The sequence below is a fragment of the Homo sapiens genome, chromosome 6 (genome assembly GCF_000001405.40).
Source record: "Homo sapiens chromosome 6, GRCh38.p14 Primary Assembly".
NCBI lineage: Eukaryota > Metazoa > Chordata > Mammalia > Primates > Hominidae > Homo > Homo sapiens.
In genome coordinates, this window is record NC_000006.12 from 13,272,983 (window position 1) to 13,300,064 (window position 27,082).

At 47.7% G+C, this 27,082-nt stretch overlaps 2 protein-coding genes and 1 long non-coding RNA gene across 23 annotated transcripts in view, besides 2 other annotated features; 1 reads left to right on the forward strand and 2 right to left on the reverse strand.

Annotated features, from left to right (window-relative positions):
• Positions 1–14,855, forward strand: part of PHACTR1 (phosphatase and actin regulator 1) — a 571,071-nt gene extending 556,216 nt beyond the window's left edge. For 15 of the 19 annotated variants that reach the window (XM_005248934.4, NM_030948.6, XM_047418373.1 and 12 more), the window contains 4 exons: positions 5,286–5,347; positions 10,440–10,580; positions 13,164–13,240; positions 14,081–14,855. In XM_005248934.4, the coding sequence (XP_005248991.1) occupies positions 5,286–5,347; positions 10,440–10,580; positions 13,164–13,240; positions 14,081–14,096 (296 nt within the window). In that variant the 3' untranslated portion in view covers positions 14,097–14,855. Of the gene's footprint in view, positions 1–5,285; positions 5,348–10,439; positions 10,581–13,163 lie in introns of all 19 variants that reach the window. The other 4 variants (NM_001374581.2, NM_001374583.2, XM_017010459.3 and 1 more) reach the window with 2 other exon arrangements.
• TBC1D7-LOC100130357 (TBC1D7-LOC100130357 readthrough) overlaps positions 1–27,082 on the reverse strand; it is a 62,002-nt gene that overhangs the window by 6,447 nt on the left and 28,473 nt on the right. Inside the window, exons 6-8 of one of the 2 annotated variants that reach the window (NR_134872.2) lie at positions 21,814–21,916; positions 8,447–8,571; positions 1,867–2,566 (exon numbers count right to left, since the gene is read on the reverse strand). The exons of the other annotated variant lie outside the window; for it this stretch is intronic. The gene's annotated coding sequence lies outside the window, so the exon portion shown is untranslated. Of the gene's footprint in view, positions 1–1,866; positions 2,567–8,446; positions 8,572–21,813; positions 21,917–27,082 lie in introns of those variants that run through there. 2 annotated transcript variants of the gene reach the window in all.
• On the reverse strand, positions 112–22,604 carry LOC100130357 (uncharacterized). Of its 2 annotated transcripts, NR_160971.1 has the most exons (5): positions 22,504–22,604; positions 22,293–22,406; positions 21,814–21,916; positions 8,447–8,571; positions 6,175–8,174 (listed from the first exon to the last, which is right to left on the reverse strand). It is a non-coding gene; the product is annotated as an uncharacterized LOC100130357 (long non-coding RNA). The 2 variants fall into 2 exon arrangements; NR_134859.1 differs by lacking the exons at positions 6,175–8,174; positions 21,814–21,916; positions 22,293–22,406; positions 22,504–22,604 and adding exons at positions 112–524; positions 10,319–10,460.
• Positions 309–1,508: an enhancer, noted in NCBI's record as "BRD4-independent group 4 enhancer chr6:13273523-13274722 (GRCh37/hg19 assembly coordinates)". NCBI's record gives its function as "activates an origin of replication core promoter dependent on BRD2, P300/CBP, MED14 and CDK7 cofactors, and independent of BRD4, by STARR-seq in HCT116 cells {active_cell/tissue: HCT116}" and the evidence as "EXISTENCE:reporter gene assay evidence [ECO:0000049][PMID:35650434]".
• Positions 5,187–5,356: an enhancer, noted in NCBI's record as "active region_24022". NCBI's record gives its function as "activates an Ori minimal core promoter by ATAC-STARR-seq in GM12878 lymphoblastoid cells {active_cell/tissue: GM12878}" and the evidence as "EXISTENCE:reporter gene assay evidence [ECO:0000049][PMID:35858748]".

The window sequence follows — 27,082 nt, forward strand, 5'->3', positions numbered from 1 at the left end:
CCACAAGGTTTCTACCTTGCGCCTCTGCGGAAAGCATTGAAAACCTTTCTAACGGTTGAAGCTTCATGTGTGCATGTTAGAACACCAAAGACGACCTCCCCAAAGAGAAGGCAAATTTTATTCCACTTTATTCTTTAGAAGCTCACGGGCGGCAGGCAGAACCTTCCTTTTAGTGAGTTGTAAAGTCAGAGAGAAGCTGAAAAATTAGAGTGAGACCACTTATTATTTAATGATTTTTAAGAGCAGGGTCACCTTTAAACCAGAATTGGCTTGAAAATGGAGACTGTGATATGCACGGCTAAAATAAGGGAAATGTCCATTTGAACTGAGACTAGAAAGCATGACTTTGCATTGCAGCTGGCTGCTGTTGATAAAAATCCCTCATCCCTTTGAATGTTAAATTGAAAGACTAAGAAAGCATTTCCAAGTGAAGTGCTTCATGTCTGTCTCTCAGGATTCCCACAGCTGGTCCCGGGCATGCCTGTCTGATGCTCTCATTCGAGGAAAACTGCCTTTCACCATTGCTGCAGACAGAAAAAAATAAATGAGCCCCTTGTTTGGTTTAGGACACAGAGACATTTGAATATGTACAGAGGATCCACTTGGTGCTTTAAAAAAAAAAAGAGAAAACAGGATACAAAATACTAAAAGAGATCAAGCATTTGATGGACAGCAGTATGCGTCAGTTTAGTGGTAGATATTAAATAACTTAAATATCAAACCATTCTATTCATTCATTGCTACCATTCTCGCCAACACTGGCCTCAAGATAGTGAACAAATATTTCTGGCTTAATTCATGACCCTGTTCCCCCTACCCCACAACACACTTCTAATTTCTCTCCAGAAGAGAAAGATATATACTATGCAGAGTTTTCTAGAAATGCTATGTTGTACAGACTGACTCCTTGCCTCCCCCGGCCCCCCCGCCCCGCCCCGCCCCGTGCCCAGTAAATCACATGCAACCGCAGTGTGAGTTTGCCGGGAATTTCCACTGAAACCACACTAAGATATTCTTGACTTTACCTTTCTACCGTGCTCACTGTGGCCTTGTGACTTGGTCGGCATTTCGTAGTCTGCTGAAGGTGGGTGCTGGGTTCCGCTTTGGTGGGGAGACCTGTTGCCTACAGCACCCACCCCCGCCCGACGCCCCCGCATGTCCGTTTATGTCAACTCTGCCTTTATCAATGTCTTGCCTCCCGTCCCCACGCCAGCCGCCACTTCCTCAACTCTCAGTAGAAGTTATTTTCAGGATTAGCCTTCCTCAGTCGTGGGGGAACCCTACGCTTTGCCTAGGTCTCTAGGAATGTGTGTTTACTTTTTTCTGCCCAAGGGGTACCCTTTAAAGTTTCCAAGCTTAATATTCTATATAATGAATTCAGAGCTTTTTCAAAGCATTTCCAAGGTCAGGGAAGCATTTGGCTTGTAGGATGTCTTCCTTTCGGCCCCAATCTGGTACCTGAGCCATTATAAACTTCCCATTGTTGGAGAGAAAGATAAACAGCCAGGTGAACCTGTACAACTTACTCACAGCCCGCTGCTGTACTTGTGGCCTCTGACCTGAGACCTAAACTCAAAGAAGCTAAAAGCCTCCGGGGGATTATTTAGGTTTCAGAAAATAGTGCTTATCACACCAGGAGTACGGTTTCTGGAGAGATCTAAAATCCCCTAGCTCAGCTCTGGGCTCTCTCAAAGATATCAGATCCCCGCTGTGGCTTGTCCAGATCCCTGGGAGACTACAGGTCCTTTGAGCTTGGGTTTTTACCGCCATCAACCAGGGAACTTAGATTCAGGGGACCAAAAAGGAGTTGTGAAAGATTGTTCCCATGGTTCTCTTTTATTCTCTTCCCTAATCCCTCTTGTCCTGGCCACATAGTTGCAAATTAAAGAACTACTTGACCAATTCTAACAGGTTGGTCATTTCATAGTTTTGAAACTTTTCAGAAATCAACTTGTTTTCCCATAGGTTCTTATTTTTCCCTGTATTCTGGAACTATGTTCTCCTAAATATTTTTTTAAATTTAATCTATTGCGATTGTTAAACAAAAAAAATGTCTAGTGGTATAAGAAAACATCCTCCAATAGTTTGTTTTAAAACTGATTTTCTGAGCTTTCAGCCATTTGAGGAACTGCTCGGTGTTGGGTGGTGGGGAACAGGGCACAGAGATGCCATGGCTCAGCCCTGGAGCTTTGAGAGCCTTGGGTTGGTTTCCAGCCCCACCCTGCCTGGTCCTGGGAGCAGCCCCTGTTCTGTCCAGCAGCCAGTGAGGCCCTGTGCACCTCTGAGCACATAATGAACCCTCTGACGGTGGCAGCTGTAATGACGACATCGTAGGCCTTTCCTGGCCTGTCTTCCTAGTTGCCTAATGGGGTTGTCTTGGTACCTTCTGCCTGAAAATTCATGAACCTGGGTTGGTCAATGGCTTTGAACTAAAGGTATCAATTCTGTAGGTGGTAGCTTGTGGCCCCACCCCTCAGAGTGACCTAAGAAACGCACATAGGAGATGAAGGCTCCATGCTGTGTCAGCTGTGTCACAGGATGCCCGCCTTCACGGCTCTGAAGGGACCTGTAGGATCAGAAGTCTGAGGCTAGTAATGAGGAGGAGAGCCGGCCCCACACAAAACATGACCACAGGAAAAAACCTATCTGTGTAACCACTGAGCCAGGTAGGGTGTGACTGGCCACTTAACACCCCTGAGGCTTCAGATCCTCAGTTATAAACCAGGAGTGGTAGACGAGGTGGTCACTAGGTCCCCTCATGGCCCTAGTATTCTGTGCTTCTGTAAATTTTCACCGTGTGCCCTCTAGCTGTCCCTGGTGACCCAACATCCAGACCACCTTTTCTTCCATCCGTTTTCCCACCTGAGACATCGCAAAATGGGAGTTCCCTCCTTCTGGTTCTTGCTGTCTGCCTCCCCATTTAACTCTGCTAGATTAATTCATACTAAGATATTAATGGCTGACTAGTTTAATAGGTTTTATCCCACTGAAATTTGCATTTGTACAAATGTCACTGTCTGGGGGCTCCCTACTTCCGGGTGTTGCTGTCTGCCCCCCAGTTTATCTCTACTAGATTAATTCATACTGAGCTATTAATGGCTGACTAGTTTAATGGGCTTTTATTCAAGAGAAATTTGCATTAAAAAAAAAAAAAACCTCTCCGGGAGGGAGATAGGATCTCTAAATCCAAAGGAAAGCACACTCATGGTGACGGTTTCAGGCACTGTAGGGTAGGCTGGAGCAGGGACCTCTGGTGACCTCAGCCCACAGCAAGATGTGGCTGTTTCTTGTGCTGCCTTTCTACAAAGCCTTATGCCCACAGGCGGTTGGGGGGCCAAATCAGGCCCGTGGGGGTGGCCCTCAAGGGCCTGATTTCTGCTCTGACCTTACACCACTTGTGCTAGTGGGAGGTATAGTCACCTTGAGTGTAAAGGTGACACAGTTATCAGATGGTCCCCACCCCTTTCTAGGCACAGGGGGTTTCCTTCCTTTAAAGACCTGTCCCAAGGCCGGGCGCGGTGGCTCACGCCTATAATCCCAGCACTCTGGGAGGCTGAGGCGGGTGGATCACCTGAGGTCAGGAGTTCGAGACCAGTCTGGCCAATATGGTGAAACCCCATCTCTACTAAAAATACAAAAATTAGCTGGGTGTGGTGGTGGGCACCTGTAATCCCAGCTACTCGGGAGGCTGAGGCAGGAGAATCGCTTGAACTTGGGAGGTGGAGTTTGCAGTGAGCCGAGATCATGCCACTGCACTCCAGCCTGGGCAACAGAGCAAGACTCCATCTCAAAAAAATAAAAAATTAAAAAAATTTAAAAAATAAAATAAAGACCTGTCCCATACTGAGACAATCAGCAACCATACCTGAATTGCATGTGTGCACCAATACAACAAACTAATGAAGTTACCAAAATATAATTCAACAACTGTGATTTTCAAAATGAGCCAACTAGTGTCCCAGGCAGTCGTGATGCACCCTATGCCAAAATCAACGTGTTTCCTTTTACTAACGCCATTTGAAATTTAACGGCTGAGAATCACAGGCCTTCTTTGATACAAGCTGACTTCCATAGTTTTTCCAAGTCCAACAATGCTACGCTGATATCTGTGCTTCCACAGATATCAAGGAATTCTTCCAAGGTTCAGAAGGGAAATGGTCTACCCCAGGTCATCCAGTTAGCTTAAAAGGAGAAATAAGCCCAGATTCTCTGCCCTTCAAGTATCTGCCCCCTACCCCAGACTCTCCCATGTACAGCTATTTAAAAATCTGATGAGTAAATCACCCATATATTAAGGCAAGAGCTTTCAGGCTCTGCAGTCTACTCTTCTGAGCCACTCCTAAAGAGTCTACATGCAGGCAATTGTATCCCACACTCTGGCCTCACCCATGCTCTGTGGACTTCATGGAAGATTCAAACAATCGATGGAATCAGGGCTTGTGAAAGGTGAGCGTTTTGAAATTCCTCCTGCCTTGTCTTGTTCCTGCAGCAGGTTGAGGGCAGTCTTCTGCTCTCTCTACACCCACAGGGCACCAGACACAAGGACTATACCACAATGAGCCTCCTTCAGTGTCTGGGAGGCTCAACAAAGAATGAGTGAGCCCCAGTCTTATCCAAAGAAAGGAGCCTCACATCTCCCCAAATGCCTGTGTGTCCCCGTGTCAACATTCCCACCCACCTCCTTGGGCTGTGCGGTGGCTTGCACCTGTAATCCCAGCACTTTGAGAGGCCAAGGCAGGAGGATTGCTTGATGCCAGGAGTTCAAGACCGGCCTGAACAACATCATGAGACCCCCATCTCAACAAAACATTTTTAAAATTAGTCAGGTGTGGTGGCGTGCATGTGTAGTCCTAGCTACTTGGGAGGCCGAAGTAGGAGAATCACTTGAGCCCAGGAGTTCCAGGCTACAGTAAGCTATGATTGTGCCACTGCACTTTAGCCTGGGAGACAGAACGAGACCGTGTCAAAAAAAAAAAAAAAACCTACCTTCCTGCCTTGTAGCCACATTTCTCAACCCAGCATCTCTGCCTGGAGACCTGAAACCCCATGTGATGTAAAGAAGGCAAAATGACAAGGTCAGCCTGCTCAGTAGCAATTTGAAACAACGCAGGTAGTTTGGAAAGCAATCCCCATAAGGAGAAGGGCAGCTGGGGGAGGGGACAGGAGTACTCTCTTCCCTTTATTAAAATGAGATGCTTGGCCTAGAGCCTGCCAAGGTCCAAAGGATGCACCTGTACACAACACTGTTTACTGAAATAAAAAAACATCTTAAATATTTTTTTTAGCTCGGAATGAACAAGAGGAACAGGAGGAGAAGAGAGAGATCAAGAGGAGGCTAACCCGAAAGGTAGGTGGTTCTCCATGCCAAGAGCTGGGACAGGAGAGGGTGGGCTGCCTGCCACACCTCTGCCCTCTGCTGGCCTCAGTGGCCTCACCGCTGCCTGGTTCCTCTCCTCCTGTGTCAGAGAGTGCCACTCTCTTACTCTATAAGACCTCTCCACTCAGCTTCATGACCCTCAGTCCTTTCAGCTGGTGACACTCAATGTTGTTTGATTTTGTGACACCCACCTACTTCCTAACAACTCGATGGCTATTGCGTTGTATTTTTGATTATACTAAATGTTTTGTTTTACAAAATTCACTATAATCCCATTAAGCAATGGGAAATTCATAATCAAAATCAGTAGTTCAAAGGCCAGGTTCAGTGGTTCATGCCTATAAACCCAGCACTTTGGGAGGCCAAGGTGAGTGGATAGCTTGAAGCCAGGAGTTCGAGACCAGCCTGGGCAACATGGTAAAATGCTGTCTTTGTCAAAGTAAATATACAAAAACTAGCTGTGCATGGTGATGTGCACCTGTAGTCCCAGATACATGGGAGTCTGAGGTTGGAGAATTGCTTGAGCCCAGGAGGCAGAGGTTGCAGTGAGCCGAGATCGCGCCACTGCACTCCAGCCTGGGCAACAGAGCAAGACTCTGTCTCAAAAAAAAAAAAAAATTACTAGTTCGAATATTACACAATTATTTGCTATGACCCTGGGAAAGTATAGACTTTTTTTTTTTTTTTGCTCCCCCTGACACTATTCTTTCCCTAGGAATTAAGAACTATGCAACTTTATTAGGCTAAATTACGAAAGTACTGACAAATTTAAAGCAGATGTTTGAGAAGCACATAGCTTAAAGTCATAAAACTGGAATTTTAATATAGTCTTAACCCCAAAAATAGATGGTTTGGCAATGCACTGTAGCCTCGCATGCATCTCATTCCACATGAGTGTCCTCTTTAATAATAAACGCATTGTTAAGGCTATTCTTGGATGATGCTGAAAAGTTTAATTAATTGATGACATGCAAGATACAATACTCCCTTCTGTCTGACGAAGTCAAAGTGTTTTTAATCAGCCTCCTACAGTGACCATCTTGAGAGAAAGATACTCTCATATCTTAGCTACAGTTAAGAGGCCCATTAATATTAATTTTAAAAAGGTTTATTAGTGGATTTTTCTCTCCAGAAATATCACACAAAGGAAGAAATTCAGAGATCCTGAAATATCATACCAATTATTAAGGTGATGGTTTGTATTTCTCCACACTTTCCCTGCGAGCATCCCAAATACCTGGTGACAAGCCAAATGCCAACCCAATTAGCAAGAGCTGGACAAACAAGTGCCTGAATGGCCAGACGACTGGCTGGGGTCACCCTGGTGGAGACTAGAGCAAGAGCTAAGTGACTTCACCAGCCAGTCGCTGTCCCACCCGTCAAGGTTGGACCCTTTACATCCTTAAGCCCACCCACTCTTTGGATGCAGGGTGCAGTTTTTCCTGAGCTTGAGTAGTGAGAAGAGCAGGAGAGATGCATTAGCTTTTTCTCATCGTGTCCTTGAAATGACTGGGGCTCGAAAAAGACACTGTGATAAACTTTCATTTCTGATACAGAAAGGTCTAGACACTTAGAAAAAAAAAAAGTTGTTTAAATCAGATTTTCATCAAATTTTTCAGAATTGGTTGCTGGATCCCCAAAATTCACCCAGTTTTAAGGTTGCTTGCTAAAAGACGGTCACAGAGAAATACTTAGACATTTATTTAATTCCTATCTCTTAACAAAGTTGATATGATTTTGCGGAGAACTTGACTAACTGCATGATTTGGTAATGAGCGAGTAAAGAGTCTTCCTTTCCACACCCATCTCCCTAGGGTAGGTGACACTAGGGATGGGGACCCCAAATAGTTCATAGGTTTTGCGGGTCTCCACAATCAAATAATTGCCTCTCTGTTCCTGCTCACCTCTCCTTTCTTCTCCCAGGGAAATGGCCTTGGAATTTTAGCATTTGCCCTCCCCTGGGACTGGCTGGGGGGGTTAGAAATAAGGAGCTTGAGAGGGGATAACTGCTTCTAAGAGAGAGACTGGAGAACAGAGGGGCAACTTCCATATCTGCTTTTGCGGGCAGAGATGTGGCGCCTTCCGGCAGGTAGGGAACCTACATCATCACTTCCTGGCCCTGTGAAGGTTCTTCTCCTCTTGAGCATTTATCACACTGAGACCAGATGCCAGTGATGGGGGCTGCTTTACAGTGATCTGCCTTCAGCCCAATAACTTCTTCAATAAAATTCTATTTAACTGTAATGCACTAGTAAGAAAAATAAAAAATAAAGCGTAGTAACTGAGGCTGATAGCAACAGACCAGTCATTTTCTCTGACCAAACTGAGACTAATATAAAAATTACATGCTTTGTCTTTTTAAAAAAGACATGCCTGCGGCCAGGCGCAGTGGCTCACGCCTGTAATCCCAGCACTTTGGGAGGCCGAGGCGGGCCTGACTTTGGCTGCAAAGATTATTTTTGCAGCATTCAAGGAAGGACTTCAGGTTCCAGATGCCCCGAAGGCTACAGCCAGCACCAGGCCAAAGGTGCGTCTTCTGAGCCTTTCGTGGTCAGGGACATGAGCCCATGCACACAGAGGAGCGTCCTGGTGGCCGTTTGTTAGTGCTGGGGTCCGTGCACCAACTGTGACTCTGAGAGGCAGCAGCCAGCTGCATCCTCGCTCATTCCCTCTGAGCACTTGTGCTCTATGCTGTCTTGATTTGGAAAGACGGTGTCCAAGGCCCCGCGATGTTCAGGCATAAGAAACAGCCCCTGACCTGCAGCATTTATGCTTAGTCTTCGGTTCACTCCAGACTCTGCCATAGATAGGACATTAGTAAAATCCAGGTCAGTTTCCAGGAAGAGAAATTTGAAAGTCAGGGCTTAACAACTTTTCTCACATCATGGGTGCACTCAGAAAATAACCCTTTGGGCCGGGCTCGGTGGCTCATATCTGTAATCCCAGCACTTTGGGAGGCTGAGAACGGCGGATCATTTGAGATCAGGAGTTCGAGAGCAGTCTGGGCAATATGGCGAAACCCTATCTCTATTAAAAATACAAAAATTAGCCGGACAAGGTGGCGCATACCTGTAATCCCAGCTACTCGGGAGGCTGAGGCAGGAGAGTTACTTGCACCCAAGAGGCGGAGGTTGCAGTGAGCCGAGATCATTGCACCATTGAACTCCAGCCTGGGCAACAGAGTGAGACTCCGTCTAAAAAAAGAAAAATGAAGAAAAGAAAATAACACTTTGTCTGGCCCCTTGAGGTAAACCCAGCAAGTCCTGAGGAACACAGACAGGATTCTGAGTAGGAGTCTGTTTATCTGGAGTAAATATGGCAAATGTTGCATGTCTTTATGTATTTTAATTATAGCACAAAATCTCCCTGCACTCACATTGTGGAGAACATGTTTTGGAGTCAGGATGACTGCTGTTTTTGTTTACGGTGACCACAGCCATAACAGCCTGGGAAGCCTGTGGGTTCCCGCGACAGGCCCACACTGGTGCCAGAATGTTGTCGTGCCTAAGAAAGCCAAGGGAGGCCTACATGCAGTCTAGGCAGGGGGGCCGGCACCAGAGGCGGCTGAGCCCCTGATCCCCAGAGCTTCCTGCCTTTGGCTGAGAGGGAGCTGTAGGCCTGCCTTGGCCCTGTCCGGGGTGTGCCACCACTCTATTTGATACCTGCCAGCCATCCTCTAATTGTGCTCTGCCAGCGTGGGAGCAAGTTGGAACATTCTCGCACTAGCCACGGGTGTCTGGAAGCTGCCTGTTGCAGAGTCGAAACTGCCAGGGTGGTTTGGACTCCATTGTGTTTGTTTTACGGGCCTGAGTTGCAAGATTCTATGAGATAGTGTCTTCTAGTAATAGAATTACACAGAGTCTAGGGCTCAAAGGGAAAACTGCTTTTAAATAGCATTGATTGAACATCATTTGACAGCATCTTAAAGAGAGCAACTGTGTTGCTCCAGGAGAAATAAACCTGGTGACAGGAAGAGATAATAGAAATGTCAGCCTTATGTTGCTAAAGTAGAGGAAGGGTCTTCATGGCTAATATCGGGAGATGGCAAAATACATACGAATCTTCCTTTTACTTGCTTCATCCCTCATTCCTGCAGTCCTTCATCATGCACCATCCAAAGGGCTGGTCCTGAGTCTCCCTTGGCATAAATGTGGCCTTTTTCTGTACTTACTCAACTCCGCATTTGTTGACTGACCTTCCCCTTGAACTTCTTGCAGAGGGCCGTCAGCAATGTTTGGGCTGACCTCTTCAGCCAGCAGATTCCCATCCCTGCATACCCCAGAGTTTGCATACCATTTGCACATACGCTTTTTTGCATCTAAAACCCACACAAAATGCACTGCAAAACCCCCTTGCAGAAAGCACTCGATGTGACACAGATGTGGATTCACAAATCCAAAATAAGACAGAATCATTGTAGAATGTCCCTGTCACCTGGTGGGAGTAGGACAGATAAGAAGAAATCCACAACAGGCGCCCACAGCCAAACAGAAAGACAAGCTTCTAGTAATGACTGGGACTCAGCAATGTTATGAAGATAGAGACTGTTTACTATCGATTTGTATAGGTGTAAAAACAGTACTGTGAATATGCTTTGAAGTCCTAATCTTTATATATTCTATACTGAAATATACACAGATAAAATGATATGATGCCTGTGATTTGTTTCAAAGCAATCTACATGTGGATGTAGTCAAGAGTTGATTATTGTTGAAGCTGGTGATAATACACCAAATTCATTACATTAGTCTCCTTCCTTGTTTTGAAAATTTACATAATAAAAGATTTTTTTTAAGTTTAAAAAAAAAAAGAGCTTGGCCTAGAGGGTATGTAAGGGATAACAAAGCTCTCTCTTAGGACCTAGAAACGTCCCACTCCCAAGAGTCAGGAGACTTGGGTCCCCCCACCCTGGCCCTCCCCCTGCCCCTGCCCCTCACTCACTATGCGATGCATCCATCGCCTCACTGAACCTTATTTTCCACACCTGCAAGTTCACAGACAGGACCAAGTGCCATGGTCAACCCTTCTGGCTGACTGGGTCCATCTCTCTCCCTCCCTGCAGCTCAGTCAAAGGCCCACGGTGGAAGAGCTTCGGGAAAGAAAGATCCTCATCCGCTTCAGTGACTACGTGGAGGTGGCTGACGCTCAGGACTATGACCGCAGGGCAGATAAGCCGTGGACCCGCCTCACCGCTGCAGACAAAGTAAGCAGAGGGGAGTGCTGGAGAGTGGGAGGCAGGACCGTCTGCTGGGTCTCGCTGGGCTCACCGCTGGGGAGCGTGTAGGGAGACCTGCAGCCAGGCCTCAGCCGCAGTCCCCATAATGGAGTGTTGAGACCCCAACACCTTTCCCCAGGGGCCACAGATAATCTGCGGAAAGGCTGCTGAATCGGAGAAAACACAAGGCACATAATACTGTGCCCATTTTACAGGAGGAGGAGCAGCAGCCTGGGAGGCTGTGCCCAGAGAAAGAGAATAGCACTGGATAGGTGTAGACAGGTGAAGGCAAGAGGCTCCAGGCTCATCACAGCCCTTCCGTATAGGGGATGGTGCTGCCGGCATCCAACGAGGGATTCACCAAACCAAAAGAGAAGACAAAGTAGACGCATAACCCCAGGAGGGAAATAGGGCATAAATCAAAGAGACGTCGCAAAACATATCTCACTGCACTAGCCCCTCGCCGATTTAGAAAACAAAAAGAATAATCTGAGGTTCAGTTTGTTTTTTAGGAAAAGCAGTGATGCCAATGAGAAATCATTTTCTCTGTCCACCAGACAAGGTATCAGAATGAACCTCTGTTTGGTAATCCTCTCTGATTCTAGTCTGGTCACCATGAGGAGCTGGAGGGTTAAGGGCCTTTTTAAAAATGTAGTCTGTGCGCCAGGCACAGTGGCTCACGCCTGTAATCCCAGCACTTTGGGAGGCCGAGGCGGGTAGATCACTTGAGGTCAGGAGTTCAAGACCAGCCTGACCAACATGATGAAACCCCATCTCTACTAAAAATACAAAATTAGCCGGGCGTGATGGCACACACCTGTAATCCCAGCTGCTCGGGAGGCTGAGGCAGGAGAATTGCTTGAACCCAGGAGGTGGAGGTTGCAGTGATCCAAGGTCACACCATTGAATTCCAGCGTGGATGACAACAGTGAAACTCCATCTCAAAAAAAAAAAAAAAAAAAAAAAAAAATATATATATATATATATATATATATAGATACACGTATATATATATATATATACTGGAATAATGATTCTGCCCAATGTGTAGGTAACGATAGAAACTATGGAGTGTGTCAGGGGCCTTCTGCTCAACAGTCCTGCCTTCACTGTCCGTTTCAGGGACCCAGGGTTTTCTTATATGATACAGCAGGAAGTCATTTATGGCCCAGGCTGGCTACATTATCACCAACCCTGGATCCAGGAGGTGCAGGAAACATGTATGCAGGCACATTGCTGCACTTGGCTGGGACGGAAGCAGCAAGAGGCAGATAGACTTCCAGAGACGACCTCGCCTGTGGCGGGTCAACCCACAGACACCATGTGTGGAAGACTGTGCCCTCCTCTGTAAACACAGCATTCACATCTTCTCTGCAAGGGAATTTGTGGGAGCAACCCAGGAACTGGCATTGCCATGCCCCTGACAGACAAACCCAGCTCCCCAGGAGTGTGTCATCTAAATACGAAGAGGAAGGGGCTTTCACTCTTGTCCTCTCCTGTCCACACTCTCTCTGCGGTATGCTTGCAAGGATAAGGATATTAGCAAGTGTGCAAGAAAACCACAGACATCTCTACTTGCACCCTCATAGAGTTCTGAGTAGCTCTTAGGCCGAAAACATATCCAGTTTCTCAATGGCTGTTGGGGACAGAAGACAGGAAGCATGGGGTGACCCCTGCCCCCACCCCCAAAGCTGCTACCCAGGCACTTAAACCTAAGCCAGCCTTCTTTTCCTGGGGAGGGCCATTCTGATCCTACAGGAAGACTTTTCTCTCCTCAAACTCCTGGGGCCTTGATATTCCCATCAAAGCAAGTATCGGCCATAGACAGAGCTATGCAAGAAGGCACACGTTTGCAATTTCCACCCTTGAGGAAGGAGTGAGGTTGTCTCTGGCCCCAGCTGCCTTCTTTACCAGCCCCTCCTCCTCCCCTGCTCTCTCATGGCCTCTCTTTGCTGTCTGATTCCAGGCCCTGTGTCTTCAGTGGCAGTATTATAAGGATGGGGTGATTCGGGATCATCTCAGAACATGTGAGGTTATTCAAAATGTATCTCACATGGTGAAATACATCACTGAAGAGTCAGGGAAGTTGTAAAAGAGCAAAAACAAACTGTTGGTAGGGAGCTGGCCATCACCTGTCCCCCTAATTTGGTTGGAGAATTTGATCCACGCCTTCTGGAAGTCTCCACCTCGAGGCATCACTGTGCCTGTGCTGAGCTTTGTTTATTTATGGAAGATGAGAGGTTGACATTGAATGTGTTCTTGGGCCCCCAGGAGTGTGGGGTAGGTGTACACCACCACTGATGCCTCAATGCCACAGCTCTATGAAAAGAGGAAGAAAAACACACTTTGGGCAATAGCCTGTCATCATTTGCAACTTAGATTTAGGGAAGGAGGGGAATCTTTGTTTTAAAGGACATCTCAGGTGATTTTTCTTCCTCCCAATGAAAGAATCCATCTTAAACTTGTTTGTCTTTGTTGAAGAAGAAAAATATGTTGTTAGGAATGAACTGAAAGGGGAGTTTTTTTCTGTCTCTCTCCCATTGCACATTGATGGGCTTCTGTTGATTCCAGGCTGCCATCCGAAAGGAGCTCAATGAATTCAAAAGCACTGAGATGGAAGTTCATGAATTGAGTAGACACTTAACAAGGTTAGTATTAAGGGTTTTTTTTTTCCTTTTTTTCCCTCAAGTTGCAATATTTATCTCCAAATAAAGCTCTCCCACTTGTGGGACATGAGTGGGTTGGAGGGTGCCATGAGAGGGAAGATAGTAGGAAGGCAGGCATGCGGTTCCACTTTAGGTTACTGAAACGAGGAAGTGGAACACAGATGGCCCGGGCTAAAACCAACTTTCTGCAAAGTCTGAGTTTCACTCATTTAAACTAAAGGTCTGATAAGCACCAGACTACCAACGACCCCAAGGTGGGTTTTTGTGAAAACTTAGGTCAAGGAGAAAAGATTGTTGCCAATTTGCAACCAGTCAGCAGAGGCCAAACCTGAACAAAATACCACATCCACACGGGACTTCCAAAGTGGACCACTTCTGTTATTCCCTGACATTCTCCCTGACAGTCCAGCATCATGATGATATTTGGGAAAACCGAGGCATGGAGTGATTAAGAGGATTATATAAGGTTGCATTGCTAGTTAGCAACAGAGCCATTGATTTAATTCTGACTTTCTTTTGGGGGGAACATTTAGAGAAATAGGATATAGCAAGTATTTAGTCTAGAGACTCAGAGACACAGATTGGGTTCTGCACCTTGCTGCTGGATCCAGGCTGATGGCAGGAGGTGGAGGCCACCAGGGCTGCCCCAGATGAAACTTTCAAAGCCAGGTGTGTGTTCAGTGGTACTCCTGTGGGGATGACGGTGGGAAGCTCGCACCTCCCTCTCACGGTCAAGAACCTCCCTGAAGATGGGAGATTGGACTGTTGAATCCTGCACCTTTGGCAGCCCCTTGGTCTTGATGTAATTGTTTGTTTCCTTAGGTTTCACCGACCTTAACAGTCGAATTCCTCTTGAGTGCTATGCTGTCTTCAAAACATAAATTTATAAGAACCATAAGTGCTGGTATTTATTCACTTCCCCATTACGATGTAAATCTTCTGAACTGCCTTTTTTTTAAAAAGAAGAAAAATCAAGGAAACACAATCAGGATTTTATGTGTGAAAACGCAAAAGTGATGGCTCGGCGGTCCGAGCTGCTGGTCCCACTTCTGACACCAAAATGCATCCCAACCCCCGGCAGTGCCAAGGGCACCAGCAGGGCCCTGACTGAAGACTGTCTGGCAGGTGGAACGGTCCTTGTCCTCTCCAGCCAGGCCCAGCAGGCACTACCTTCATGAAGTCTCCAGCAAACCTCTTCCTCACAAGTGTCTGTCATCTGAGTCCAAAGAAAGCTGAAGGGGTGGGTTTGTTTTGGGGGTACTGTGCAAAGCTAATGATCTGGTTGGACTTCTACACTTGGCCAAATGTACTGGCTCCAGACATGACATTTGGTTTGGGGGCCCTTTGAAGTTGATGCCAAGAAGGAGTGAACACTTCTCAGTTGCCCCTGGCTTTTCCCTCCTTTCAGCCACCACCCACACAATGAACAAAAGGGAAGGGCCCATTTCTGGGGGAGTCTGGCTGCCTCTTGGCTACGAAGGCTGGCACTGAGCACCCATCCTGCTCCCTCTGCCTGAGCTGAGCTGCCTTTCAGGAAGCTCTGGTTTAGAAGGGGAAAGATGTCATATGCTCAGTTCAAATAATCAACCCAACTGTGTCCAGAGTGTCCAGTGTCATGAGTGACCCACGCACACACACAGCCATTGCTAAGGTACTCCTGTGCTGTTTATAAGTCTGAGTGGGAGGACCCTATTGAATCCTGTGGGGTCAGAAACTGCTTGGCTGACATTTATTTTCTCTGTGCGCCTTGAAGCTGATTATATGGCTTGGGAGTTCTTAGCTTCTGTGTATAGGACCAGTGCATGCAGGCCAGAAACCACTCCTGTAGGACTGGCTTTCCAGCCACTGAGGGACTTGGAACCACTCCATGGCCTTCTCTTTTTTTTTTTTTTTTTTTTTTTTTTTTTTTTTTTTGCACTGAAGAGTTTCTGTGAAGGAGCCCCAGAGTTGGGCATGTGCCAGAATCAGGCCAACACCAGCCACACCTGTCCACAGTGCCCCTTCCTGCTCCAGTTGATCCAGAGAGCTCCTCCCTCTACCCTCATGATGCCAGGGAGCGTGACTGTGGGTGTGTCTCTGACTGGGACACCCAGGATAGGGTGTGCGATGAGGCCAGGACCCTCCTAAACCCTAACAGCATCCTAACGAGGCCCATTGCAGCTTTCGATTTCCTTCATAACAGAGCTCGCAGGCCCTCAGTTGCAGAGCTCTCTCACCTTCTGGAGTGACTCCATCGTTACTCCAGTCTTTCTAGGTGGTGGAACTCTCCACCACACATGCCATTTAGAAAGACGCCAGCTTGGCCTTTCCAAAAAGTTAACCAGTCGTCTCCCCACCACAAACCCTGTGGGAGCAGGTTACTCTTAGGATGCACACCCGTCAACGAGGCCATTGCATTTTTTTGCAGGCATGAACGGCTCCCATCTAGGCACTAACCCAGGAGCCAAACAACTGCTGGGGAGAGTTCAGGGCAGCTCTTTGGGCGGTGCCTCCAGCTGCAGCTTTGCCTTGCCACCTGGAGCCAGCACGCCTCTGCCCGACCCAAGGAGGATGCCATCACTAGATCCTATTTTTTTTTTTTTTTTTTAACTCTTGAATCTGAATAGTTCCTGCCGTGGGGAGAGGTATTGTTCAGGGAAAATGTGATCGGGATTTTAGTGTGGCTGTAAACACAGTCTTCCCGAAAGGCTTACTGACGTTTGAATGTGCAAATGGTATGACGAAAGATGTAGGGCTCTTTCGTTGAACTTCTCTACGGCGGGCGGGCGGACACGTGTTCCAGGTGGACTTGCCTGCCGGCCAGGCTTTGAGTCTGAACTTCCTCTAACTGCAGCTGGGCTCCTGGCACACGCGGTGCCCTGGCATGATGGTCCTCCCTGGCCAGGAGCGAGTCCTAAGGAAATTCATTCCATTGACCGGACTCCTCCCATGATAGGCCCATGGCTTCTCTGCTGGCCTTAGTTCTTGGCCCTTCAGATTCCCTGGGGATATAAGGCCCAAGCGGATCTCCCTGCAGCCAGCCAGCAGACAGCCCAGGGTTTCCGCCCAAAGTGCCCTCATGTTGCAGTCCACTTTGTGCATGGAAGATATTGAACACAATTTCCACTGCTCTTCCTGCAGGGCCTCCTTTCCAGCAGTCACTTGCTCAGACTGAGGGGTGCACCTCCCCTGCCATTGACAGGTCCTGCGCCTTCAGGATGGGCTATTTCAAGCCCGTTTTAAGTGGCTCTTACACAGGCTCAGCAACCTCTGTGGCCTGCAGGATGGGCCTTCTGCTGTCTCTTTCCTTTCTTAAAACCTTAAGGTCTTTCTAGAGACCTATTCAATTTTCTTTTTTTTTTTTTTTCACTACAATGTCATGACAACTGCAGCAATTTGTGTTACTTTCCAAGATGACAATTTGACATTAATTAAGGGAAAAAATAAAAAGGTGAGCTAGATGACTTAAAATGCATCTCTTTTTTGAAAAAGCTGTAGCTGGCAAGTCAAAGTTTATTTTATGTGTGTAAATTCCCAGTTGAGCATTTTTTTCATTTGGATTAGCGTGAGAGGAAAAATGTGAAATGTCTCAAATCAAATGCTTCCTTCTAAAGATTAGACATTGCCCAACCCTGCCCCCGCCCCCAATCAATCAGTGACAGAAGAGACCGCCATCAGCCAACTAGCTTTTTTTAAATGGCTGATATATTCATCTCTAAAGGCCCTCAAAGCACTGTAAAACTTTTAAAACTTTAGCCTTTATGTCAGATTAGAGAAACCAAACAATGTGACGGTACATGTGATGAAAAGCTCTGGGTTTATTTTTCTCCCGCTTATGAACATGTATTTTTATTTGCCGAATGAAAATCGTGGTGTGTTGCTTTGATGAATGGAATTTCAGGCTCTCCCTGTGCACAGCCGGTGGGCAAAGGTCACCTTAAATGACTTTTTCTCCCTATCTGTCTGTTAATCCCCAGACCGGTTGCATTTTCCAGTTGCTTCCTGGGTGTCTGTACATAGTTTGTCTTTGTATAGGAGTGAGTGTGGTGACCGTCAATCCCCTAATCTCCCAGGTTCTAATTTAACAGATGATGGCTGTATGAGGAAAACGATGTAAATAGAGAATACAAATTAAACTGGATCTCTGTGGCCTAGGTTTTGTACATACAGAAACTGCATGGTATTTAAATTATTGTTTGTCTCTGATGATGTATGCAGTTTCTTTAAAAACAAACCAAAAAAAAGTAAAAAAAAAAAAAAAAAAATTCTTGACTCTTGTGTGTTTTGTTATCAACCAGCAGCAGAAACCACCAAAAATGCTTTGACTGGGAAAGGGAGGTTGCAGGAATGGGAGAGGTCAGCTCATCTGCAAAATACATAGTGAGAGTGAGTGGACATACGGGACAACCGCATGTCTCCTCTGGTATTATTGGGGGAAGGAAGTATTGTAGCACATACATTAACTTTCTAGAAGACTTTTGTGTACTAGGATTTTTTTCCTCAACTTTTTTTTTTTTTTGAGACTGAGTCTTGCTCCGTCGCCAGGCTGGAGTGCAGTGGCGCAATCCTGGCTCACTGCAACCTCCGCCTCCTGGGTTCAAGAGATTCTCCTGCCTCAGCCTCCCAAGTAGCTGGTATTACAGGCACGCGCCACCATGCCTGGCTAATTTTTGTATTTTTAGTAGAGATGGGGTTTCACCATGTTTGTCAGGATGGTCTTGGTCTTGACCTCATTATCCGCCCACCTCAGCCTCCCAAAGTGCTGGGATCACAGGCGTGAGCCACTGCGTCCGGCCTTCCTCAACATTTTTATAAGAATATCTAAAATGTCAACTGTCCTTTTAACGATCTGGGAAGGCTGGAGATCTTGGCTCACTGCAACCTCCGCCTCCCTGGTTCAAGTGATTCTACTGCCTCAGCCTCCCGGGTAGCTGTGACTAGAGGTGTGCACCACCACACCTGGCTATTTTTTTTTTTTTTTTTTTTGCATTTTATTTTTAGTAGAAACAGGGTTTCACCATGTTGGCCAGGCTGGTCTCAAACTCCTGGCCTCAGGCGATCCACCCTCCTCGGCCTCCCAAAATGCTGAGATTACAGGTGTGAGCCACCGTGCCTGGCCTCTATCTCCGTTCTTGAGAAGCCTGAGTATTTGATGTATAAAGCAAAGAACTGCATTGCATAACCTTCTGGTTACTACTTGTCTTTGAAGGCTTTCAGCGGAAGCAGAGGGGCTGCATTTTAGGTGGGGGACGTTGCTGGGTAGCATATCCTTCGTCCAGCAGCGTAGAAAGGCTGTTCTGGTAAAGGGCAACCTCGTGCCGTGCTGCTCAAACCACCTTGCCTAGGAATCACCTGGGGGTCTCGTTAACATGCAAGTACTGAGCCAGCAGGTCTGAACAGGGCCTGGGAGTCTGCATTTCTAATAAGCTCTCAGGGCCTGCTGATGCTGCTGGTCCAGGAATCCCACTTCTGAGTCTCAAAGGCTGGGAGAAGAATCCCCAAAGGGAGCCACCTCTCCTTTGCCTGAGATCTCTGAGTGCCCCCATGTACTGCTCATATCTTTGCTGGGAAGCAGCAGTGAAGCCCTCCTGGATGTTCAGGTCCTGCAGTATTTGCATCAGAGTATCTGTGCCCAGAGCTCTCACCTGTGCAGCCAGGGGGCCCCTGGAGCAGCAGTGGCTATGACAGAAGGGGCAAGTACTTTACAAAAAGGTTTTCATATTTCAAAAATCCATCAGTTTCTCTTTCTTTCTGTCCTTGCAGAGCTTTTTTTTTTTTTTTTTGAGACACAGTCTTGCTCTGTCTCCTAGGCTGGAGTGCCGTGGAATGATCTCAGCTCACTGCAACCTCTGCCTCCTGGGTTCAAGCGATTCTCCTGCCTCAGCCTCTTGAGCAGCTGAGATTACAGGTGCCCACCACCACGCCTGGCTAACTTTTGTATTTTAGTAGAGAGAGGGTTTCACCATGTTGGTCAGGCAGGTCTTGAACTCCTGACCTCGTGATCTGCCCGCCTCGGTCTCCCAATGTGCTAGGATTACAGGCGTGAGCCACTGCGCCCGGCCGCTCTCTGACTTTTGATAAATTAATCTGAGAACTTGATTGCAAGTTTTAGGGCAGTGAAAGGACAAGAAAGAAACAGCTTTGATAAAACTCCTAGCAGACTGCCTGGCAAGAGGGAAGGAAACTGGCCATAATCCTGCTACGGAGGGAGCCCTTTCCCAAGGAAACAAAGGTTGTGGCTACACATTCTCTCTCTGCAGGAAGGGGCAGCCTGGTGTGTCTATCGCATCTGTTTATCTGGGCCTCAATTTCCTCATATGGAAAACAGAGACAGTGAATTAGATGTTCCTAATATTCTTTGGAGCATCAACTTGTCCATGATTTGGGAATACTGGCATTTTTAAAACATTCAACTTAGTTATTAAGAAAGAGTTAACTTTAAAGCAAGTCCGGCTGAGGCCTGTCTCTAACAGTTTAGATTCCTCTCCTTCAGGTCACCACAAATCTGCCATCTGTCCCTGCAGTCCCTCCCTGCCATGCACTGCCCTCCTGGAGAGCTGGGTGGCCCTGGGACCTACCCTCCCAAGTGCCTTCATGGGGCCTCATCCCGAAGCCGCCATCAATCAGGTTATCTGACATCCTTCTGCCTCTCCCTGCCCTTGGGCAAAACACCCTGGAGTGCTCTTGGGTCTTGATGGGTGATGTCTACGACACAATGCTTTGTCCCCTACAGCATCGCAGGTTTGAGGGTGCTCTGCGGATGTAGCTACTTAACCTGTTAAGCCAAAGGACACGTTTGACTTGTTTGACTCGGCAAACGCTCCCTGGCTCACTCTCCACAGGTCCTAAGTGATCTCCTCCACGGGTGTGGCTTCAGATGACTCCCTGTCTATGGCTGTAGCTCAGATCTGTCCCAAGCCCCTGGCCCAGGTTTTCTAAAAAGCAGCAGGGTATCGTAGAGTGTCCTGCAACTTGGATGGAGCTAGAGGCCATTATTCTAAGTGAAGCAACACAGGAGTGGAAAACCAAGTATCGTATGTTCTCACTCATAAGTGGGAGCTAAGCTATGAGGACACAAAGGCCTAAAAATGAGATAATGGACTTTGGGGACTCAGAAGGGGGAGGGTGGGAGGAGGGTAGGAATGAAAAATTACACATTAGGTACAATGTACACTACTCAGGTGATGGGAGCACTAACATCTCAGAATAAACTACTATATATTTTATCCATGTAACAAAAAGTCACTTGTGAGGCCGGACACAGTGGCTCACACCTGTAATCCCAACACTTTGGGAGGCCGAGGCAGGTGGCTCACCTGAGGTCAGGAGTTCGAGACCAGCTTCGCCAACATGGTGAAACCCCATCTCTACTAAAAATAGAAAAAATTAGCTGTGTGTGGTGGTGGGTGCCTGTAATCCCAGCTACTTGGGAGGCTGAGGCAGGAGAATCACTTGAACCCGGGAGGGAGAGGTTACAGTGAGCTGAGATCGTGCCACTGCACTCCAGCCTGGGCAACAAGAGCAAAACTCTGTCTCCAAAAAATAATAAAAAGCCACTTGTACCCCAAAAGCTATTGAAACATAAATAAATAATAAAATAAAATACAGATATACTAATTTTTGAAAAAGGTTCTCCCACCTGGATGACGGCAGCCATGATCTTTCTGCCTGTGGCCTCAGCATCCAGTCCTGCCATGAGAGTCATGTCTCCCAACTCAGATGGGCTCACCCCACCCTCCCTCTTGGTACCTGCCTCCACTGTCTTACCCATCAAGCCCCACTCTGCAGTGTGGCATCCGTAGTGACAGTGTGGCCCTTGCTCACTTCCGCCAGCCTCACCTCCTGTCCCCTGCTACATCACTCTGCTCAGGCTTCCCAAGCAGACCCTTCTGGTGCGTGTGACCTGGGAGTCCTGTGAGGGATGCTATTGATGTGGCCATGTTGTGGTGACCACCTCAGGGACAATCAGGGTTTAACAAGGGCCCTCGGGCACTGAGCAACTAAGCTTTCCTGAAAGGAGTCCAAGAGAGGTCTCATGTAGGCAACCTTGGAACTCAATGAGAAGCATACAAAGAAAAAAAAAGTATGAACAAATAGCTGTCTCTTCTGACACCTGGCAGGTGGCGGCCCTGATTTCTAACTCTGGCTACCTGGTCACTTGATCCCTACCAACAGCACCACTAACAGCTCCCACACAGTAAACACTTACCGTACCCCAGGCACTCTGTTAGGCCATCTTCATGCACCATTTTCTTTAACCCTTACGACACCTTGGTCACCGATGAGGAAACTCAGGTCCCCAAACAACAACGTGGGCAAAGTCACACAGATGGTAAGTGGCGGAGGGGCTTCCAAACCCAGGTCTGCCTGACTCTAAGGCAATGCCCTTAACCTCCCTGCTACGCTGACGTGTCGTGGCTTTCCCTCTACCTTCTTGAGTTCACACTTCCTCAGCATCCATCCAGTTATCCCATTTGCCTGTCTTGAGTGATTACATAGTTTTCTGACACTGAGGATCACAGACGGAAAGATCATGGACTGCCTCCAAGCCCCGGCTTCCAGCTCCTCCCTCTCACCTCTCATGCACAACTTTGTCTGTGATTAAGCTGAGTCTCCCGCTTCTCCACTCCGTGGGGACCTCCCACAAGCATTTGACAGTCAGCCAACATTTATGCCTTCCTGCAAGGGAAGCAGAAGTCACGAATGAGGCACTTGTACAGTGTGGGTCCTACCTAGAGCTGTTGCAAAGGCAGGAAGAGAAGGGCATGCTACCTAATGAGAGAGAAGAACACCAGACACTTCATCGTGTGTGAGCGTCCAGTCCCTTACCTAGAGGCTATTTTCTGGGGGGGAAAAGGGTTCTGCTCCTAATCAAATAATGCTCTCCACATTTCATAATAGGGAGCCATGATCATCCACTATTTCCATGGGCAACACTGCAGAGGAAGGCAAAGGGCTCTCATTAATTAAACTAATGAATTCATCTGCAGGAGACAGGAAGAGTAAACCACGGAAACAGAATTGACTAATTCTTCTTCCGTTAAGATGCATCTACCCTGAGCCAGAATTCCAGAACTGGTTCCCCTCCTCATCCATGATGAAGACGCTGCGGCTCATGTGGTCACAAAGGCTTGGTGTTTCCTATGTGGAGATACCATTGCTGTTCTACCTTTAATCAACAAAACAAAACAAAACAAAAACGAGAAAGAGAAATGGTAGAGGGAGGGAGGAAAATGCTGTCTGTTCCTTAATCACCAATCACCAACCTGGAGTGGTCACTGACACCTTGTCCAGTGTGGCAGGGGGGTCCCTGGGGTCCATGGTCCTGGGGTCCATTCAGAGCCCCCACCCAGAAGAGGACAAGCCAGTCTTCAGCTACACAGGTAAAAAAACACTTCACACATGGATTGAACTTCTTATCTCAGACAGTCCTGACCAGGGACGGCATCAGAGTAAAGGCTTTGGTCTCACGCAGCAACCCTGTGGCCAGTCCCCGCAGTGTGGCAGGCCTGCCACTGTGCGACCGAGGCCGTCATGCATGAAGCACATCTGGGGCTTTATGGCTCAACACCTGAGCCTCCTGGAAGGCCTTGGCCGCCTCACTGAAGCCCCAGCGTACCGGCTCTGCAAGGCCCTGGGGTTAAAATAGCAAAAATGCCATCTGGCAAGAGGCTGGCTTTGTTCAGACTGTGTGCTGCGTTGTCGCTGGGGTGGTGGGGACATTTTCCAAGCCACCATTAGAATATGAGCTGTCACCTGGGCGAGCCCCACTCCCCCATGCCCCCAGCCCGCTCGTCAGCATCCACGCAATCATGGCAGGAGCCCCTGTGGCAGCTGAGCCACCTTGGGTTTTCCTCAATTCCATCTCACTGACTTGGTGATGACAGCCCCAAAGCAGGCAGGACAAATCCCCTCTTTCTTCCTAGAAAAGTACCTGAAATAACACGCTCATTGTTAGACTCCAGGAGTTGGTGCTGAGGAAGGGTCCTTGGGGCTGGGACACGGAGAACAGCCACCGGTCACTGTAGACCCTTTTGTCCTGGCTGCCTTTCCCCTCTATTGGCACATGTTCCTTTTCCATCAAAAATTTAGTTACAATTATTTTTTTAAAATAAGAAGACCAGAAAGAACACACAGGGCTGACTGCCTTTTGTAGGACAAAACTCGAACAGGGAAATTTAACTTGCGTGTAACATGCACACCCAGACGACCTTATTTCAATCATACCCAATTTTAAAATCCAGGAACCGGCCACAGTAAGGAAAGGCAGGCATGTTTCAGGCTGTCCAGCAGCTGGGCAGAAAAACGGAGACCCACTGGGCCAAACAGTGAGAGGCTCCAATTGAGCCATCCTAGTTCAGGTCTCCCTAGTGACCCCCCTCTGTGCGGGGAGGTAAGTGCGTCTCTTGATATTTTTAGTTCACTGTAAAGACATGGTTTTTGCCCTCCAGGAATCAGCTAGCTATGCATGAGCGGAAACCCTGCAGGTGCCGAACGTAACTGATTGGAGTGGGGAGGAGGGGAAGGACAAAGAGTGACAGCTTCAGGTTTGGAGAGTAGTTGAGTGATATTAGAAGCAAAAAGCATCTCTGATTTGGACAGCAGAGGTGTGCACAGTTCTGCTGTGGTTTCAATCTTACTATAGGCCCCAGTCAACAGGACAGCACAAATGCTCTTTTTTTGACCGGACATTCGGCTGGCTCAGAGCAAGTAGCGGGGTAGAGTCACTTAGATTTCAGCAGCAAAGCTGTGCGGGGAGGCAAGATGCTGCCTGGGCTGCCTCCCCGGCCTCAGCATCATGCCTAGGTGGAGGAAGACGCCAAGGCAGGTTTCTTGAGCCCAGTGGAAAGCTGCTTGTGCTGCCCCCAGCTCCCTCCCAACAAAACCAAAGGCCATTCATGCTAAAAGGGTCACTTAGTCCAAACCTTCTGGTCACAACAGAGGAAGGTGCTCTGCTGCCCTCAGCACACCAAGGGGGGACACCCCTAAAGAAAGCACTAGAAGGTGGGGTGCAGTGGCTCATGCCTGTAATCTCAGCATTTTGGGAGGCCGAGGTGGGTGAATCTCTTGAACCCAGGAGTTCGAGACCAGCCTGGGCAACATGACGAAACCCCATCTCTACAAAAAATGCAAAAAACTAGCTGGGCATGTGTCTGTAGTCCCAGCTACCAGCTACCGGGGAAGCTGAGGTGGGAGGATCACCTGAGCCCAGGAGCTCGAGGCTGCAGTGAGCTGTGATTACACCATTGCACTCCAGCCTGGGTGACACAGTGAGACCCTATCTCAAAAAGAATTTTTTTAAAGCAAGCAAGGACTAGAAGCTGCACTGCTGCCAGCACCCAAGCTTCACCCCACGGGGCCCCTCCTTGCTGCATTAGCACTGGCCACTGCATCACATCCCCACACCATCATCCTGAGACACCCCTGCCCCCAGCACCAGCGGAATGAGTTTTGCACCCCAGCACTGTGCTGGTCACTTTCATCTCTCATCCCCGTTTTACAGATGAAGGGGCTGAGGCCAAGAAAAAACAGTCACACAGTTAGTAGCAGAGATGAGCAAAGAACTCTCAATCCAGTTCCCTTGACCCTATACCACTAGTGAATCCCAGAAAGGGCAGTCAGAAAGATGATGGTTTTAGACATAGATTTAAACCCATATCTGCCTTGCTAATCTGCATCTGCTCTGGTGGTGTCAGTTAGCATTAGGTCTAACAGTCTTCACATAACCAAAAACTCAAATAATAGTGGCTGAAACAAATCGGGATTTTTTAAAATGTAAAGGCAGTCTGGAATGAAGCAGAAAAGAGCGTGTGTGGTAGTGACACCATCAATGTGTAGCTCTATTTTTCGGCCCCACCATCCTTATCATGTGGCTTCCATTCTTGATGTTGCCCCACATTCCAAGATAGCTGCTGAAGCTCCTGCCATTATGGATGTGTTCCACGCAGAAAGTAAGAGGAAATACCAGGAAGAGGAAATTTACCTGCCAGCTGAATAAATTCTCTTTAAAAACCTTTTCTGGAAGTCCTACCTAATGACTTTACCTTCCATCTTATTGGCCATTCCTTTCAGCAAGAGGGCCTGGGGAATAAGGTATGTTAACACACTCCTGCCTCAAATAAAATTGGGGTGTCGTTAGTAAGGAAGAGAGAGGATGAAGAATGAGTAGGCAACTATAAGGTAGTTGGTAGTTGGTGAGCTGCCACAGAGCTGTCCTTGGTAATGAGCTGATTTGTAATACGGTTAGAGTGACACCACTTCCTAGCATGGAAAGGGAACAATTTGTGGAAAACATTCACATTTCAGTATCAAGATTTTATTCCAGGTTTGATAAACTATTCCAGTGATTTATAAACTTTAGCAATAGCTTAGAAACGAGGTCAGACTAGCTTAAAAATGAGAAAAAGGCACAGGCAAGTGGCATATTTCTTTCTTTTGCAATCAGCATTAAACCTGTCATCATTAGGTGAAATCTACATTCCCTGGGCCCTTGCTACTCAAACTGTGGTCCCCCTGGACAAGCAGCATCAGCATCATCACGGAACTTGTTAGAAATGCAGAAAGCCAGACCCACCCCAGACCTACAGACAGAATCTGCAGTTCACCAAGACCCCAGGGGCTCCCAAGGCACATTCAAGTTTAAGAAGCCCTGTTCCAACGCAATGCCCTAAAGAGTCTGCAATGGGCCTCCACTCTCCTAAAAACCTCTTCTCAGGAAGCAGTGTGCTCTGGGACTCTTAGTCTTTGGTGAGACTCTGCATCACAGCGCCACTCTCTGAGGAGAATGCACATTAAAACACTTGTAGAACTATAATACCTAACATTTACCAACTTCTGTGCCAGACACTGGTCTAAGGATTTCACGTCTGTTTCTGTAGCTCATCCTTCTAACCACTCTGTGAAGTGGGAGCTCGTACTCTCATCCCCTCCCCTGGGGTACAAATAAGGACATGGTGCTGAGTTACCCAGCCAGCCAGCCAGCAATAGGTCCAAGCAGATGCTGCCTCTCTCGAATGTTTTGCCCAGATGGAGAGATTTTAAGGCTCAGAGAAAGATGGGTCAGTGTTTCCGAATGAGGGAGCAGCTTGGTGAAATACACTCTGGACAGGCAGCGGGGATGACTGGGTTCCAGAGCTTGCTCAGCTACTGGGACCTTGTATAAATAACTCACTAGACCACCTGGAACCTCACTTTTCTTATCTGTGTATGGAGTGATCTGCAAGCTCCCCTCCAGCTCTGACGTCCCTCGGGTCCGGACGTGCCTTCCGTATGATCGGAAAATCAGTCAGCCTTAGCAGCTGCCTCCCCTAACTGGCTTTATTTAGGTTCACTCAACTGCCACCCAGCCTGGCCACAGCCCAACTTGGTCTGGACACCCAGATGTTGGACACCCTGCAGGGAAACTATACACCCTCCTGAGCAATCAGAGACAAATAAACACAGCTGCTGCCAGCGAAGCCCCCCAGTTGACCCAGGTGGAGGGGAAGGAGCTGGGCAAAGTCGACTTTCTGTAGACTTTCGGACTGAATTCGACTTGGTATGAAAGTTCGCAAAGGGAGCACCTGGCCATGTGAGTCAGTTCACCAAGGCTGCTGGTGTGATATTACCCCTCTGCCCACCCTCGTCGGAAAGGGCTGGCTGCCCACCTGCCTGGCTGGCAGAAACCAGAAAGAAGTGGTGCAGGAAAAGTCACTGAGACTTAGTCGAGGTGGAAGGCTTCTTGTTACCCCCTGGCCCTTCTGCAGGGCATTTATCTGGTCAACAGATCTAAGTGGAGCGGAGAGTCTTTGAGAGTCTCTTCCCAGTTCACAGTGGACCTGTCCACCAGGCCCCTTGCTCACCACT